This window comes from Homo sapiens, chromosome 12 (genome assembly GCF_000001405.40).
Source record: "Homo sapiens chromosome 12, GRCh38.p14 Primary Assembly".
Taxonomy (NCBI): domain Eukaryota; kingdom Metazoa; phylum Chordata; class Mammalia; order Primates; family Hominidae; genus Homo; species Homo sapiens.
Window position 1 is genome coordinate 48262612 of NC_000012.12, and position 19510 is coordinate 48282121.

A 19510-nucleotide genomic window follows, 5' to 3' on the forward strand; every position below is an offset into this window, starting at 1 on the left:
TTTCTTGAGGTCTGCAATGTACCTCCAAAGATTTTTAAATTTCCTGTGTTTTAACAGTTATCATTTCTTTTGATATGTTTATTCTTTCTCTTTTTTTTCTTAGTTGGGTTAGGTAATAGTTTATTTTGTTTCAAACAATCAGGATTTTCATTTATTAAGTAAATATATCTTTTTCTGTTCTTCATTAATTTTTTATTTTATCTGTATTTATTATGCTTTTTCTTTTACTTTATTATTCTAGCTTTATAAATTATAAATTTAATTGATTTATTTTCATTATTTCATTTTTATTAATGTATATGTTTAAAGCCTTAAAATTTTGTCCGATCACTGCTTTAAATGTACTCTATAAATTCTTAAATGTCATGTTTTTTATTATAATTACTTTTTGGAAACTCTTGTTATTTTGGTTGTATGTCACCCTGGAATTGTTGGATAAAATGTTTTAAGGCTGGGTGCGGTGGCTCACGCCTGTAATCTCAGCACTTTAGGAGGCTGAGGTGGGCAGGTCACCTGAGGTAAGGAATTCGAGATCAGCCTGTCCAACATGGTGAAACACTGTCTCTACTAAAAACACAAAAATCAGCTGGGCACGTTGGCAGGCACCTATAATCCCGGCTACCTGGGAGGCTGAGGCAGGAGAAACACTTGAACCCAGGAAGCGGAGGTTGCAGTGAGCCAAGATAGTGCCATGCACTACAGCTTGGGTGACAGAGCAAGACTCCATCTCAAAAAGTAAAAAATAAAAAATAAAAATAAAATAAATAAAATAAAATGTTTTAAAATATTCTAGTGGAACTTTTTAAAATTTTAATTGTTGCTTATTTATGGTTTTATTATGTTGAGATCAGAGTAATTTTTGTAATATTTTTACTTTAACTTAAATAATACTTTCTTTATGACCTAATATGTAATCAACTTCTGTGAATTTCCCTCTTTACTAGAGAAAAGTGTAGTATCTATTATTAGGATATACTCCAATATGTCTCCACATGATCTACTTACTTGTTAAGTTGTATAGGTGTATTAGTCTGTTCTCACATTGCTATAAAAAAACTACCCAAGACTGCATAATTTGAAAGAAAAGAGGTTTAATTGGCTTATGGTTCTACAGGCTGTACAGGAAGCATGGCTGGGGAGGCCTCAGGAAACTTATAAGAATGGCAGAAGGTGAAGGGGAAGCAGGCATGTCTTACATGCTGGAGCAGGAGGAAGAGAGAGAAAGGGGAAGGCTACATGCTTTTAAACAACCGGATCTCATGAGATCTCAGTCACTATCACAAGAACAGCAAGGGGGAACTCCCACCAGGGCCCCCCTCCAACACCAGGGATTATAATTTGACATGAGATTTGGGTGGGGACACAAATCCAAAACATATCAGTAAGTCTTATACATATTCTTACTTATTTTTTGCCCAACTGAGAAGAGTTTGTTAAAATCTTCTATTATGTGTTTCAATGTATGTTTCCTATAGATTTTACTTTATAAATGTAATAAAAGTTCTGTAAACATTTGTGGATGTTTTCTGACTTGAATTCTACATTGTTACGAGAAACAGCCCTGCTTTCTTGTTTTTTTTGTTTTGTTTTGTTTTGTTTTGTTTTCCAATTTGCTTGCTATATATTTTCCCAGCCTTTTTTTTTTTTTAGCCTTTCTGAATCATGTTGTTTTAGGTGTGTGCCTTACCTATACCATAGAGTTAGGTCTTGCTTTGTGAGCCAATTTTAAAATATTTTTCTTTTAATAGGTAATTTAAGTTCATTCACATTTATTAATAAGTCTGATAAGCAATTATTTTATATGTCTTTCATGAGTACTATGTTTTTTCTGTATGTAAATGTTTTCTTTGTCCTTTTATTTAGAGGTTATTTAACCTTTTATTATATTTTTTCGGTTTTTAATAATAGTCTGATTCTCACCTATTGCCTATGCAACTATAAATGAGTCTATTCTACTCTGTTTTCCTTCTCCTTTCTCTTCTCCTTTTTTTGCATTATTCTTACATCTTTCTCTTTTCCTTTGTTTTATCCTTAGTTTTACAATTAAATATGTAAAATACTCCCCATCAGGTTTTTTGATGATGTTTTACCATTTATCCTTGATTGAATAAATCTGCCCCCCAGTAGGTTTCTCAGAAAGCACTCAAATGTACTGTACCCCCTGAGATTTTGCATGTTCAATATGCTTTTTTATAACATTGATACTTGAAGTACAACTTGGTTAGATATCAATCTTGGCTCACAGTTTCTTTTCTTAAGTTTCTTGAAAATGCCACTCCATTTTTGCCTTGCTTTGTAAGTTGCTCTTGAAAAGTTTAATGCCTAATTCTCTTGTCTTTTCAGGTTATTTGGTCTTTCCTTCTGCTGGAGGCCCTGAGTGTTCCTTCTTGATCTTTAAAGTTTACACTTTTTCTGCTAGCTGACCATTGGTACTCTAAGGTTCTTTCAATATGTAAATTCAGATTTTTCAAAATTTCTATAAGGTTTTCTTTTATTGTGATTTTAAATAAGTGTTCTATTTCATTGTCTTATTTTTCTTTCTTTCAGAGACTACAATTACATGCCTGTTGAATCTTCTTTACCTTCCTTCCGTTTCAATACTTTTCTAACTCTTCATATTTATTTTATCTTTATTTTCTTGGCTGTTTTCTTGCCTTACCTTTTATTACGTTTTTATTTGAATCTATTATACCTAAGGCAACTTGTAACTTTATCCTTGTATTTGAAGCGATTTTGCCTTTTTCTGACATTCCTCTTCTGAGTATAATCAGTTCTAGTTTTATTTAGCCCTATTTTTTGTCCATTTATTATGTTTTACAACTTCTGATTTAAGCTGGTTTTTCATATTAAAAAATGATTGTTTGAGATTATTTAATTCAGTTTAAAATGTTGTGCTACAGTTTTCTTCTGCTTTTTGCTTGTTTGAAGGGAATGACTTTTTATAAGCTGAAATGTTTTGATTCTTATTTTCTGTGTTTTTCCTGTAGTAATCTTGTCTGTATTTAGGCTGTTTCACCTATTCATTTTGTGGATTTCTGGTGATTTACAAGATTACTGGCTGAAAAACATCTTCTCCTATCAGTGGAGTAAAGTATAAGTTTTGTTTTTGTTTTTGAAATGGATAGATTTTTATTTTTGGTGGTCATGGTGGGAGGAAATGAGGAGTTTGAGTCCTCTGATTATTTTGGTTTTTCTTTTCTTTTTGTTTTTTTTGGTCTTTTAAGACTCTAAATTTCTTCCTTTTATCTGTTTTTCCTTTTACTCATATTTACAAAAGGTCTTTTCTCCCACATAAGCAATGCCTTTCAAAGACTGTCACTCTCAATTACATGCATTTTTGAGTTGCTTCCTTGCAATCATTGCTCTGATCCACCAGAGCACACATCCTCTCTCTGTTTCTCTCTCTCTCTCAACAACTTAATGAGTTTATATTTAATATGGCATTTCTCACCATGGGGATGCTACTCAGTTAATCAATATAAAGGTTTTACTTTTGGGCTTTTGTTTTACATTAAATATCTTCTCCATTTCAATGTTAATATAAAGGGCTTTTTACAGTAAATATTTTCTCTATTTCATTAATAGATACATTGAACACATTTTCTAAATATTTTGTCTCTAAGGAACTGAAACTTTCCATTTTTGACTGGCTCTATTTGATATTCAAGTACAATATTAACTTGGGAGATAACAAAACAAGTATCTAATTAAAATATAGAGAAAAGACTTCTCAACAATTTAGTAGGCAGTGATTATAACTGAACGGTGGTGATTTTCAAATATTTTGGGAAGAGATCTTTTTTCTTCCTATTTCATGTGCTTTCAAAACTATGAAATATTACTTATGCAAATTCCAGTCATCTTACTTTTTGATCTCTTTTCTAACTGTCAAATATAAATTATAGGTTGCATTTTTCAGCACATTATTTGTTGTGAAGAAAACTTTTTTCCCCATTTAACATATATCAATTGGTTCCCATTTATACAGAAACATCTTAGAATGTGAAATTAGCTCCATTTGTTGTTTCTTGGGAGCTTTCAGACACTGAAGCTCAGTTTTAACCTTAACAGTACAAAGGCTTTTAGGGTGAGATTTTTACATCTCATCTGTCTATTTTTCTTTCATGCATAAACTCAAATAAGCACAATTGCCTGTAATGCTGAGAATCATACCAAACAAGAGTGATTTCCTCTGGCTTCCCCTACTTCAACAACAATCAGCACTGAAAAACACAAAATGAGGATGTACAGTAATTATGCTAAAACAGGTCATAAAGTTGGGATATTATGGTGGCTGGATCTTGAGGACTTCAGGTTCCAAAAAAATGGTATAATTCTATCTGATGTGAAATACTCCCTTCCTGGAACTCTGGTTATGAGGTTAAGAGGTTCTACTTGACACCTGCTTCCTAGAAGCAGTCATTATAGGAATGAGAAAAGAACAGTCTCCAAACTGCATTTCCCACAATCCCATAAATCCTTTCCAGTCTTTTCAAACCTAGGGTGGCCCTTCTTCTGTGGAAGTGACTTTAGATAAATCCTAGGCACTCCACTAATTTCCCTCTTCTTTTTTCCACACAGTTCTTCTAAATGGCCTTTACGCACCATAAAAATTTGCCAAAGGAGCATGAGTGATAGATACGTTTGGATTTGATATTTATTTTTCTACTTAGAGCTATTTTGAAATTTGTGTCTTTTCTTTTTTCTATTCAATGGTCGCCTTCCTTCTTTCCTTCCTTCCTTCCTTCCTTCCTTCCTTCCTTCCTTCCTTTCTTCCTTCCTTCCTTTCTTCCTTCCCTCCTTTCTTCCTTCCCTCCTTTCTTCCTTCCAAGCCTATATTGCTTTTGGAGTACATTTGGAGAGATTGAGTTTTAGGTAGCCATCATTATCCTTGGCTAGCCAGAATTCAGCCATTTTGGTTCCTATTTTTGCTACTGAAAAGTTTCTTTTAGTCTAATTGTGTTTTCTCTTTATATTTGGTATTTTGAAATTTTACCAAATTGTTTCTTTATTTTTATTTATCCTGTTTAAGATTTGTGGTTCCTCTTAAATTTAAGGACAAACGTTTTTCATTAACTTGAAAAAATTTACCCAGCCATTATCTTTTTTAATAGTTTCTTTTTCATTCTTTTGATCATTACCACATGTTAATTTTTTCTTTTTCTATCTTCTACATCTCTTAACTCTCTTTTATTTTCGTTTTTATCACTGTTTTTTTGAGCTGCATCTGGGTAATTTTTTAATACCATTTTAGAAATTTTCTAGTTATTTCTTGTTCTGTGTGTAACATACTGTTGAAATGTCTGTTAAGTTTTTTATTTCGAAAGTTATATTTTAGTTCTATAAGTCCTGTTTTTTTCTTCTCAATATACCTAACTTCATTGGTAGTATCATGTTCCTTTCTCATGCTTTCAACTTCAGTCTTGCTTTCTTGAAACATCTTAAGCTTGTTTTGTAAAATAAAGTCAAAAAATTTCACTATCTGAGGTGTTTAATTTAGTGTTTCTTGTTTATTTTAACTATTGATCAAAGTGATTGCTTTGTAATTCTGGATTCTTAGTTCGTGGTTGGCTGGACTTTAGATATAGAAGTCCTGTGCAGTCTGTTTTGTGAGAGGCTTTATCTTTGCTTCTGCCAACTACCCTAGAAAGATACCAACTCAGAACTACCTTATAATAATTATTTGGCTTAACATTTCTGGGACCATACATGAAGTGTAAATTCATGAGAGAAGGTTTCTGGTTATACATTTTCAAGGGAGATTTTTTTCCCCCAGAACACTGGCCAACAGGGACAAGTCTCCACATTGTTTTCCTCTGTCAATGGCAAGATGGGAAGTCTTCTGCCTCTTTTTCTTTTTTTGGAGACAGGACCTTGCCCTGTTGCCCAGGCTGAAGTGCAGTGGCACAAATGTACTTCACTGTAACCTTGAACTCCTGGGCTCAAGTGATCCTCCCACCTCAGCCTCCTGAGTAGCTAGGACTGCAGGCATGCTGTCACAACTGGCTAATTAAAAAAAAAAATTGTGGACATGGGATCTCTACAAATGTTATGTTGCTCAGGCTGGTCTCCAACTCCTGGTCTCAAGTGATCCTCCTGCCTCGGCCTCCCAAAGTTCTGGATTTATAGGCATGAACCACAATGCCCAGCAAATTTTTGCCATTCTTTAATTGGGTGTATAAGCCTTTGAGGGTACAAGCATCAGTGATTATCTCATTTTCAACTCCCTACATTATGTAGGTCTATGCCTTTGCTTCCTCTTCTAGCATAATCATTTGTAACCTCTTATTTGTTAAAATCTGCAAACATTTCCTGACAAAATGGCGTTAGCACCTAACTGTCATTCTGACTTTCAGCTTTTACTCTTTTTGCCCACTGAGGACTTTTCTTATTTTCTTGAAAGCTCAGTAAGCATTTGATAGGATTTAATAAATATTTTATATAGCATTGCCAGGGTTTTATAGTTATGTGGGAGGGAGAATGGAAAGGTGGTTTAGTAATGGAAACCTTTCCCCAAATCCTTTTCTTTATTGAGATATAATAATTGATGAATCAGTACCAATAAATTTATTATTTGCTAAAGTCCATTGTTTACCATTAGCGTTCACTCTTTGTGTTGTATTTTCTGTGTTTTGACAAATATATAATGGCATGGATATACTATTATAGTATCATACAGAATAATACCTATTCATCCTCCACCTATTCATCCCTCTTTTCTTCCTGCTAAATAGCTAGCAACCACTGATTTTTTTTAACCATTTCCATGTTTTGTCTTTTCCTGAACATTATATAGTTGGAATCATACAAGACGTAGTCTTTTTAGATAGGCTTCTTTCGCATAGCAATATATATTTAAGGATCATCCATATATTTTTTGTGGCTTCATAGCTAATTTCTTTTTATTGTTGAATAATATTCCACTGTAAAGATGTACCACAGTCTGTTCATCCATTGACCTACTGAATGACATCTTGGTTGCTTCCAAGTTTGGATAGTTGTGAAAAAAAGCTGCTATAAACATTTGTGTGCAGTTTTCATCTCATTCAGTAGATACCAAGGACTGTGACTGCTGGATCATATGGTAAGAGCATGTTTAGTTTTGTAAGAAATTGCCAAACTGGATTCCAAAATGGTTGTACAATTTTGCATTCCCATCAGCCATAAATGAGACTTCTCATTGCTCCACATCCTTGCTAGCATTTGTGTTGCCAATATTTGGGATTTTAGCCATCCTAATAGGTATGCAGTTGTATCACACTGATGTTTTAATTTGCAATTCCCTAATGATAGATGATTGAACATCTTTTCATACACACATTTTCCATTTGCATGTCTTCTTTGGTGAGGAGTCTGCTCAGATTTTTGTCCACTGTTTGATTAGGTTGTTGTTTTCTTATTGTTGAGTTATAAACATTTTTGTATATTTTGGACACCAGTCCCATAACAGATACATGTTTTGCAAATATTTTCTTGCAGTCTATGGCTGGTTTTATTCTCTGAGCATTGGCTTTCACAAAAGCACAAGTTTTTAATTTTAGTGAAATACAACTTAGCTTTTTCTTTTATGCATCATGCTGTTGGTGGTGTTATCTAAAAAGTCATTGTCAAAGCTAAGGTCACCTAGATTTTCTTCTATATTATTTCTAGTATTTTTATAGTTTTTAATTTTATATTTAGGTCTATAATGTATTTGAGTTAATTGTTGTGAAAGGTGTAAAATCTATGTGTAGATTCATTTCTTTGCATGTGGATGTCTAATTTTTTTCAGCACTATTTGTTGAAAAGAATATCCTTTCTTTGTTTAATTGCCTTTGCTCCTTTGTCAAAGATCAATTGACTATATTTGTATGGGTTTATGTCTGGGCTCACTATTCCATTCCATTAGCCTATTTCTTTCTTTCTTTTTTTTGCCAATACCACACTTCTAATTATTATAGTTTTATATTAAGTCTTTTTTTTTTTAAGTTCCAGGGTACATGTGCAGGATGTGCAGGTTTGTTACATAGGTAAATAAACATGTGCCATGGTGGTCTGCTGCACCTATCAACCCATCAGGTAGGTATTAAGCCCCACATGCTTTAGCTCTTTTCCCTAATGCTCTCCCCCTATATTGAGCTTTGAAGCTGGGGAGTGTCAGTTCTCCAATTTTGTTCTCCTTCAATATTGTGTTGGCTATTTTGGGTCTTTTGCCTTTCTGTATAAACTGAAGAATCCGTTTTTTATACTTGCAAAATAACCTGCTGTGTTCTTTTTTTCAAAATTGTTTTGGATACTTTAGTTCATTTGCATTGCCAAATACATTTTAGAATTCGTTTTCTGATTTCTACGAAAATTTGTCTAGTATCTTTATGGAGATTGTTTTGAATCTATATATCAGTGAGGGAGAAAGGATATTTTAACAATATTTAGTTTTCCAATTCATGAACACAATATATCTTTTCACTTATTTATGTCTCCTTTGATTTCTTTTTTTCTTTGTAGTTTTTATCATAAAGGTATTGTAGATGTCTTGTTAGACACAATTTTGGACATTGACGTTGCTGAACTGACTTATTTTGCAGATTCTCTGTCAACAACCATGTCATCTGTGAATAGAGACAGCTTTCATTATGTCTTTCTCTCTCTCTCTTTTTTTTTTTTTTTTTTTTTCTGAAACGGAGTCTCGCACTGTCGCCTGGTCTGGAGCGCAGTGGCGCTATCTCGGCTCACTTCAATCTCCGCCTCCCAGGCTCAAGCGGTTCTCCTGCCTCAGCCTCCCGAGTACCTGGGATTACAGGTGCCCGCCACTACACCTGGCTAATTTTTTGTATTTTTAGTAGAGAGGGGTTTCTCTATGTTGGCCAGGCTGGTCTCAAACTCCTGACCTTGTGATCCACCTGCCTCGGCCTCCCAAAGTGCTGGGATTATAGGCGTGAGCCACTGCGCGCGGCCTCATTTATTTCTCTCTAATCTGTATCCCTTTTCTTCCTCCCTCTGCCCACCTTCTCTCTTTGTCACTCATTTCTTTCTTTTCTTTTTATTCCTTTTTTTCTTTTGGCATTATTTTACAGGCTAGACCTTCTGTATAATGTTGAATAAGAGTGGTGATAACAGATATTTTTGCCTTTTCTCAGTCTTAGGATAAAAAGATTTGGTCCATCATTATTAAATACACTATTTTAAGGTACTCTTAGAATATCTACTACTGCAGATTTTTTAAGGTATTCTTTTTCAGTTCAGAAAGGTTTCCTTCTATACATAGTTTCCAAGAGGTTTGGTAATAAATGGGTGTGGAATTTTTCTGCCTACTTTTGTATTTAACTTTTTTTTTTTTTTTGAGTCAAAGTCTCGCTCTGTTGCTCAGGCTGGAGTGCAGTGGCGCGATCTCGGCTCACTGCAAGCTCCGCCTCCCGGGTTCAGGCCATTCTCCTGTCTCCTGCCTCAGCCTCCCGAGTAGCTGGGACTACTGGCGCCTGCCACCACGCCCGGCTAATTTTTTGTATTTTTAATAGAGACAGGGTTTCACCATGTTAGCCAGGATGGTCTTAATCTCCTGACCTCCTGATCCGCCTGCCTTGGCCTCCCAAAGTGCTGGGATTATAGGCGTGAGCCACCACGACCAGCCGTATTAAACTTTTTTAAATGATTTCATTTTATCTTCACTATTGGCTTATCATTTATACATCTTTACAGTTTTTAAGTGGCTGCCCTAGAATTTTTTTTATTATTATTATACTTTAAGTTCTAGGGTACATGAGCAGAACGTGCAGTTTTGTTACATGGGTATACATGTTCTGTTTATGTGATGGATTATGGTTATTGATTTGCATATGTTGAACCAGCCTTGCATCCCAGGAATGAAGGTGACTTGACCGTGGTGGATAAGCTTTATGATGTGCTGCTGGATTTGGTTTGCCAGTATTTTATTGAGGATTTTTGCATTGATGTTCATCAGGGATATTGGCCTGAAATTTTCTTTTTTTGTTGTGTCTCTGCCAGGTTTTAGTATCAGAATGATGGTGGCCTCATAAAATGAGTTAGGGAGGATTCCCTCTTTTTCTATTGTTTGGAATAGTTTCAGAAGGAATGGTACCAGCTCCTCTTTGTACCTCTGGTAGAATTCGGCTATGAATCCATCTGGTTCTGGACTTTTTTTGGTTGGTAGGCTATTAATTAGTGCCTCAATTTCAGAACTTTTTATTGGTCTATTCAGGGATTCGACTTCTTCCTGGTTTAGACTTGGGAGGGTGTATGTGTCCAGGAATTTATCCATTTCTCCTAGATTTTCTAGTTTATTTGCATAGATGTGTTTACAGTATTCTCTGATGGTAGTTTGTATTTCTGTGGGATCGGTGGTGATATCCCCCATATCATTTTTTATTGCGTCTGTTTGATTCTTCTCTCTTTTCTTCTTTATTAGTCTGGCTAGCAGTCTATCTATTTTGTGGATCTTTTCAAAACACCAGCTCCTGGATGCATTGATTTTTTGAAGGGTTTTTTGTGTCTCTATTTCCTTCAGTTCTGCTCTGATCTTAGTTATTTCTTGTCTTCTGCTAGCTTTTGAATTTGTTTGCTCTTGCTTCTCTAGTTCTTTTAATTGTGATGTTAGACTGTCAATTTTAGATCTTTCTGGCATTTAGTGTTATAAATTTCCCTCTACACACTGCTTTAAATATGTCCCAGAGATTCTGGCATGTTGTGTCTTTGTTCTCATTGGTTTCAATAAACATCTTTATATCTGCCTTCATTTCGTTATTTACCCAGTAGTCATTCAGGAGCAAGTTGTTCAGTTTCCATGTAGTTTTGTGGTTTTGAGTGGGTTTCTTAATCCTGAGTTCTAATTTGATTGCACTGTGGTCTGAGAGGCTGTTTGTTATGATTTCCGTTCTTTTGCATTTGCTGAGGAGTGTTTTACTTCCAATTGTGTGGTCAATTTTAGAATAAGTGTGATGAGGTGCTGAGAAGAGTGTACATTCTCTTGATTTGCAGTGGAGAGTTTTGTAGATGTCCTTTAGGTCTGCTTGGTCCAGAGCTGAGTTGAAGTCCTGAATATCCTTGTTAATTTTCTGTCTCATTGATATGTCTAATATTGACAGTAGGGTATTAAAATCTCCCACTACTATTGTGTGGGAGTCTAAGTCTCTTTGTAGGTCTCTAAGAATTTGCTTTATGAATCTGGGTGCTCCTGTATTGGGTGCATATATATTTAGGATAGTTAGCTCTTCTTGTTGAATTGATCCCTTTACCATTATGTAATGCCGTTCTTTGTCTCTTTTGATCTTTGTTGATTTAAAGTCTGTTTTATCAGAGATTAGGATTGTGACTCCTGCTTTTTTTCTTTTTTCTTTTTTTTTGCTTTCCATTTGCTTGGTAAATATTCCTCCATCCCTTTATCCCTTTATTTTGAGTCTATGTGTGTCTTTGCACATGAGATGAGTCTCCTGAATACAGCACACTGATGGGTCTTGACTCTTTATCCAATTTGCCAGTCTGTGTCTTTTAATTGAGGCATTTTGCCCATTTACATTTAAGGTTAATATTGTTATGTGTGAATTTGATCCTGTCACTATGATGCTAGCTGGTTGTTTTGCCCCTTATCTGATGCAGTTTCTTCATAGTGTTGATGTTCTTTACAATTTGGCATGTTTTTGCAGTGGCTGGTACCAGTTGTTCCTTTCCATGTTTAGTGCTTCCTTCAGGAGCTCTTGAAAGGCAGGCCTGGTGGTGATAAAATCTCTCAGCATTTGCTTGTCTGTAAAGTATCTTATTTCTCCTTTGCTTATGAAGCTTAGTTTGGCTGGATATGAAATTCTGAGTTGAAAATTCTTTTCCTTAAAAATGTTGAATATTGGTTGGGCACAGTGGCTCACACCTGTAATCCCAGCACTTTGGGAGGCCGAGGTGTGCAGATCAGGAGGTCAGGAGATTGATACCATCCTGGCTAACGTGGTGAAACCCCATCTCTACTAAAAAAAATACAAAAAAAATTAGCCAGACATGGTGGTGGGTGCCTGTAGTCCCATGTACTCGGGAGGCTGAGGCAGGAGAATGGCATGAACCCAGGAGACGGAGCTTGCAGTGAGCAGAGATTGTGCCACCGCACTCCAGCCTGGGTGATAGAGCGAGACACCATCTCAAAAAAAAAAAAAAAAAAAAAAAGAATGTTCAATATTTCCCCCCACTCTCTTCTGGCTTGTAGGGTTTCTGCAAAGAGATCCACTGTTAGCCTGATGGGCTTCCCTTTGTGGGTAAACTGACCTTTCTCTCTGGCTGTTTTTTCCTTCATTTCAACCTTGGTGAATCTGATGATTATGTGTCTTGGAGTTGCTCTTCTCGAGGAGTATCTTTGTGGTATTCTCTGTATTTCCTGAATTTGAATGTTGGCCTGTCTTGCTCGGTTGGGGAAGTTCTCCTGGATAATATCCTGAAGAGTGTTTTCTAACTTGGTTCCATTTTCCCTGTCACTTTCAGGTACTTCAATCAAACATAGATTTGGTCTTTTCACATAGTCCCATATTTCTTGGAGGCTTTGTTCATTCCTTTTTATTCTTTTTTCTCTAATCTTGTCTTCTCGCTTTATTTCATTAAGTTGATCTTCAATCCCTGATATCCTTTCTTCCATTTGATCGATTCCGCTATTGATACTTGTGTATGCTTCACGAAGTTCTCGTGCTGTGTTTTTCAGCTCCATCAGGTCATTTATGTTCTTCTCTAAACTGATTATTCTAGTTAGCAGTTCATCTAAGCTTTTTTCAAGGTTCTTAGCTTTCTTGAATTGGGTTAGAACATGCTCCTTTAGCTCGGAGGAGTTTGTTATTACCCACCTTCTGAAGCCTACTTCTGTGAATTCCTCAAACTCATTCTCCATCCAGATTTGTTCCCTTGCTGGCAAGGAGTTATGATCCTTTGGAGGAGAAGAGGTGTTGTGGTTTTTGGAATTTTCAGCCTTTTAGTGCTGGTTTCTCCCCATCTTTTTGGATTTATCTACCTTTGGTCTTTGATGTTGGTGACTTTCGGTTGGAGTCTTTGAGTGGACATGCTACTCCTTTCTGTTTGTTAGTTTTCCTTCTAACAGTCAGGCCTCTCCGCTGCAGGTCTGCTGGAATTTGCTGGAGGTCCACTCCCGACACTGTTTGCCTGGGTATCACCAGTGGAGGCTCAGTTGGAAATGCAGAAATCACCCATCTTCTGTGTTGATCTCACTGGGAGCTGCAGACTGGAGCTGTTCCTATTTGGCCATCTTGCCAGCAATCTGCCCTAGGAGTTTTCATAAACACATTTATTTAATCACAGTCTACCTTCAAATAGTATTATGCCACTTATGTGTAGCGTAATAACTTCCCTAATTTCTCTCACTCTTTATGCAATTGTTATATGTTTTACTTTTACTTGTGCTCCAAACCCAGAGTAGGTTGCCTTTGTTTTTGCTTTAGACAGTAAATTATCTTCTAAAGTTATTAACAAGAAAAAATATTTTATATTTACTTTGACTTTAACAATTCCAAAAGATCTTTGCATAGATTCAAGTTTCTGTCTAGTATTACATTCCTTCCTCTTAAAGAACTTTCCTTTTTTTTTTTTTCTTTTTTTTTTTTTTGAGATGTAGTCTCACTCTGTCACCCAGGCTGGAGTGCAGTGGCGCGATCTTGGCTCACTGCAAGCTCTGCATCCTGGGTTCATGCCATTCTCCTGCCTCAGCCTCCCAAGTAGCTGGGACTACAGACACCAACCACCATGCCCTGCTAATCTTTTTTGTATTTTTAGTAGAGACAGGGTTTCACCGTGTTAGCCAGGATGGTCTCAATCTCCTGACCTAGTGATCCACCCACCTTGGCCTCTCAAAATGCTGGGATTACAGGCGTGAGCCACCACACCCAGCCAAGAACTTTCTTTAACATTTCTTGTGGCATAGGTCTGCTTAATTTCTCTTTCATTTTGAAAAGTATTTTCACTTGGTATAGAATTCCATGTTACTTTTTTTTTCTTTTAACATTTTAAAGATGTCACTCTATGTCTTAGTTTCTTGTGATGACTATGCTGTAAATTTAATTTTTTTCCTTTAGGTAATGTGTCTTTTTTGTCTGACTGTCTTCTAGATTTTCTCTTTATCTTTGGTTTTCAAATGTTTAAATAGGACACATCGTGTGTGTGTAGTGTGTGTGTGTGTGTTGGTATTTATATCACTATGATTCTCTGAGCTTCTTGGATCTGTGGTTTGATGTCTTTCATTATTTTTTGAAAATTCTCAGCTATCATCTCTTCGTTTATTTTTCTACTCTGATCTCTTTCTCTTCTGGAATTCTAATTACATGTATGTTAGCCTGTTTAATATTGCCACATAACTCATATGTTCTGTCCTTTTTCTATTCTTTTTAATTTTTTTCCTTTAGTTTTGGTAATATCTGTTGACATATCTTCCAGTTTACTAATTGTTTTCCCTTTGGCTATGTTCAGTCTACTTATGAACCCATTGAAGGCCTTCTTCACCACTATTACCATACATTTAAATATTTTCTAACCTTTCTTTGGCCTGTTCTTAGTTTCTTTTTTTTATTTATTATTATTATACTTTAAGTTTTAGGGTACATGTGCACAATGTGCAGGTTAAGTTACAAATGTATATATGTGCCATGCTGGTGTGCTGCACCCACTAACTCATCATCTAGCATTAGGTATATCTCCCAGTGCTATCCCTCCCCCCTCCCCCCACCCCACAACAGTCCCCAGAGTGTGATGTTCCCCTTCCTGTGTCCATGTGTTCTCATTGTTCAATTCCCACCTATGAGTGAGAATATGCAGTGTTTGGTTTTTTGTTCTTGCGATAGTTTACTGAGAATGATGATTTCCAATTTCATCCATGTCCCTACAAAGGACAGGAACTCATCATTTTTTATGGCTGCATAGTATTCCATGGTGTATATGTGCCACATTTTCTTAATCCAGTCTATCATTGTTGGACATTTGGGTTGGTTCCAAGTCTTTGCTATTGTGAATAATGCTGCAATAAACATACGTGTGCATGTGTCTTTATAGCAGCATGATTTATATTCCTTTGGGTATATACCCAGTAATGGGATGGCTGGGTCAAATGGTATTTCTAGTTCTAGATCCCTGAGGAATCATCACACTGACTCCCACAAGGGTTGAACTAGTTTACAGTCCCACCAACAGTGTAAAAGTGTTCCTATTTCTCCACATCCTCTCCAGCACCTGTTGTTTCCTGACTTTTTAATGATTGCCATTCTAACTGGTGTGAGATGGTATCTCATTGTGGTTTTGATTTGCATTTCTCTGATGGCCAGTGATGGTGAGCATTTTTTCATGTGTTTTTTGGCTGCATAAATGTCTTCTTTTGAGAAGTGTCTGTTCATGTCCTTCACCCACTTTTTGATGGGGTTGTTTGTTTTTTTCTTGTAAATTTGTTTGAGTTCATTGTAGATTCTGGATATTAGCCCTTTGTCAGATGAGTAGGTTGTGAAAATTTTCTCCCATTTTGTAGGTTGCCTGTTCACGCTGATGGTAGTTTCTTTTGCTGTGCAGAAGCTCTTTAGTTTAATTAGATTCCATTTGTCAATTTTGGCTTTTGTTGCCATTGCTTTTGGTGTTTTAGACATGAAGTCCTTGCCCATGCCTATGTCCTGAATGGTAATGCCTAGGTTTTCTTCTAGGGTTTTTATGGTTTTAGGTCTAATGTTTAAGTCTTTAATCCATCTTGAATTGATTTTTGTATAAGGTGTAAGGAAGGGATCCAGTTTCAGCTTTCTACATATGGCTAGCAGTTTTCCCAGCACCGGCCTTTTCTTAGTTTCTAACTGCATACTGAAATTACCCACCTGTTGATGAATATTGCTTATTGTTTTCATTTCAGACTTTTCTACTTTGGATCTTTTCTACTAGGATCCAGCTGCTCTTTTGCAACTAGTAGATGACCTTGAGGATTCTAGCTTATTATCACTTCTGCCTACATCCCAGTCGTCAAAGCAAGCCACATGGTCATTCAATGGGCTGTATAGATCCCTAACATAGATAGGGATTATTATTCTGTTACAAGGAGAAAGAAAACAGTCTATTAAATTAACCTATGGAGTTGCCCATTTTAGAAACCTAGGAGTTATCTTTGATTCCTCCATTTTCCTCAGTCCCCACATTTAATCAGAAAGTGCTAGTGAATCTTTTGTCAAAGTACATATAGAATCTGTACATTTCTCTGTGCCATCCTAATCCAAGATACCATCATCTCTTCCCTGGGCTCCTAATTGGACCTTCTCATTTTTACTCTTGCCTTCCTCCTATCAATTTTCCCAACCAAAGCAAGAATTATCTTAAAATGTAAATCATTTCACATTGTTCATTCACTTAAAAAACAATATTCTGTTGCATTTGAAATGTTAACAAAAGAGCAATGAGATCTCTTGTGGAGGCAAAAGGAGAACTTTATTTTCTAAAAGCAACCTGCAGATTGAGGAGACAGCCTTCAGTGCAAAACAAAAGTGCACTCTAAGGAGGGGATTGGAGAGTTATATATCATAAAGATGAAGATTGCAGGCCAGAAGAGGAGTCAGGGAGTGAGGAACACAGTCTTGATTGGAAAACCTTTGATCTCCCAAATAACCAGTCTCTCTTAGTTGGCTGATTCCAGGTAATTGGCTGGCACCAGGTAACCTATTGGTGGTCAGTTGGGGAATTTCCAGCTGTAGTTGTTTTTGACATTGTTTTCAGGAACTGTTCTTTGACTTGATTGCAGAAAAACTGGTTTTACAATAGTTTTGACAGATACAGAGTGCATGATCACTCCCTCACTCTGCTATGGCCTCTTGGTTCTGCTTTTAGCTTTTGAGCCACAGGGAGTCTGCCTTGTCTGTCAATTGGGGGCATAATTTGATACATTTAAATTAAAATTTAAACTTCTAATAAGAGCAAGGCCATCCTCCCTCTGCCTCTCTTTCCAACCTCATCTCATTCTAGTTTCTTCTTTATTCACATTTCAGAAACTTGATATCTATAAGCTCTTCCCTATTTCATAGCTTTTGAATATGCTGTTCCGTCTCTCTAGAATGCTCTTTCTCTAACTTTTGCCAAGCCTTGCTCATTCTCTAACTTTTGCCAAGCCTTGCTCATTCTCATGCCTTAAGTCTTAGCATATGTGTCACTTTCTCAAATAGGCCTTCCCTGACCTTCCTCTCTAAAGCTGATCCCCTGCTGTTCTCTAACTAGCTCTTTGTTTAGTTCTATCATCATTCTAATTTGTCTGTTTACTTATCTTCCCAACTAGACTGTAAGGACCATGAAGGAAAGGGCCATTTCTGTGTTGTTTGCTGTTGTATCCCCACAGCTGGCCTTGACCTTGGTAATTTGTAAGTTTTTTTAAAAAGTGTTGAATGAGTGAGTAAATAGGTAGATGAGATAATGAGGGTATAATCCAGGGCAGCAGCCGTAGGCAAAGAAAAGAGAGAACATTGGAAACTTTTAAGACTCAGATTAAATGCTTAATCTTCTCTGAGGTCTCTCCTTATCTTTTCAGCCAGAAATTGAGTATAGTGTCTCACTTATGAACCTTTGATTTTGTTTATGCCTCATTTGTTGTGTTTAACATTCTCTACCTCTTGTAATGATTGTTTTAAATGACAGCTCTTTCCTGCCAGGATTTTACCCATCTTAAAGGAAAGACCATATTTTATTCATCTGTCTCCCATAATAGTCAACACCCTGCTTGGCACATAATAAGCTGATTATATGTTTTGAATGAAAAAGTGAGGGAAAGACTTGAACACTTTTGTGTTCTAGGGTGAGGAGAAAGGGTCTGCATAGATTGGGTTCTTGGATAACTTCCCTGTGACAGCCTCTCAGGGAGGGACCTAAGCTTCTTGAAATAAGTTTTCCAATCTTATTACAAAGGTTATTTTTCCATGATATGAGCTCACTATACTTCACTTTCTGAAGGAGACCAAAGAAAGATATAATGTATTGACCTTTTCTGGATTTGATAATCTCAATTTATAGTGCAGAGCATTGCCCGGCACATGCCAGTTAGGCCAATAAAAATGACTTTGAACTTCCAAACTTTTCTCCCTGGAGAAGCAGAGTAATAGTCTTGATCACACTCTAAGGAGGCACTTGGGTCCCAGCCAATCTCTGCCCAGTTGGTCCCCTCGTCCTTCCTCCTTCTCTGGTATCTGGGGGAACAGGCCTGAGGGGAGGGGAAGGTAGTGTTGAGCCGGGACCGTCAGGGTCTCATTAGCATTTGGTACTTAGATAATCCCAGCTGTTCCATGTGTGGAAATCTCCACGGGCAGCTTTACATCAGATCAATTAAGGCCAGCTTGAGTTTTGCTTTTACTCTAAATGATTCTCAAGAGTTTAGTTAGGAAGATACCTACAGGGACTGCTCAGTGACTATCCAAGGAGGATCACAGGAGCAACTGGGATTTATTAAAAGAGTGAGCAAAGGGCCCATGTCCAGGAGGTGTCCCTGCAGATCTTGTTCCAAGTATCATGAGTAAAATGGCAACTCCAGCACCAGCTCTCCCAGCTGTGTAACTTAAGTACTGTCCCTACAAAGTCCTCTCTATTCTCACCCTAAATCTTACCCTTGCAGTTATTTCTGGATTAGTCAGAAAGTCCCTGACTTTGGGACATATCTATTAACATACACTTCTCATATAATCTATCCCAATCACTGACTGGGATAAAAATTAAATCCCCTTCTGGAAAAAAAAGACATTAATCTCATTGCACCCGGCATCACAGAATGTTTCTAATAATAACAAATGGACAACAATTATTCTACAAGAGATAAACTGTTAAATTAAATATAGAACACCTACATAATGGCATTTTATACAGTCAATATATCTATGATGAGTTCTTTATACCACGGATACATACTTACCTATAATTTTAAGGAAAATTCAGGATGAAAATTCTACATATCATGTGAAAAAGTTATGCCAAATCACATTTAGGCAGTGGAAATATACCAAAATGATAACTATAGAAGTCATGAATATTTTTGAATTGTTATTCTTCTTTATAGTTTTTTTGTAGTTTCAATGTATTACTATCATAATCAGGAGAAAACACATTAAAATTGTAATGGGTCCACTCAACACAGATATTTCTAACATAACACCAAAGAAAAATGTCCAATCAATCTATTCATCTCCTAGGGCTGCCATAACAAACGACCACAAATTGAGTGGCCTAAAGGAGTGGGAATGTATTCTCTCACAGTTTTGGAGACTAGAAGTCCAAAATCAAGGTGTTGGCAGAATTGGTTCCTTCTGGAGATTCTGAGGGAGAATCTGTTCCATGCTTCTCTCCTGGTAACTGCCAGAAACCCCTGGCATCCTTTGCCTTATCATTACCTTAATCTCTGCCTCTGTCATCACATGACATTCTCCTTGTGCGGCTCTGTGTGTGTTCAAACTTCCCCCTTCTTCTAAGAATTAGTCATTGGATTAGGGACTGCCTTTATTTAGTTTGGCCTCATCTCAACTTGATTGTATCTACAAAACACTATTTTCAAATA

At 36.5% G+C, this 19510-nt stretch overlaps 1 long non-coding RNA gene across 1 annotated transcript in view; it reads right to left on the minus strand.

Moving 5' to 3' along the window:
* Nucleotides 1-16394: 16394 nt before the first annotated feature.
* The window catches only part of LOC105369753 (uncharacterized), a 28424-nt gene continuing 25308 nt past the window's right edge, over nt 16395-19510 (minus strand). The window contains exon 4 of the long non-coding RNA XR_944923.3: nt 16395-16840. This is a non-coding gene — a long non-coding RNA (uncharacterized LOC105369753). The remainder of the gene's footprint in view (nt 16841-19510) is intronic.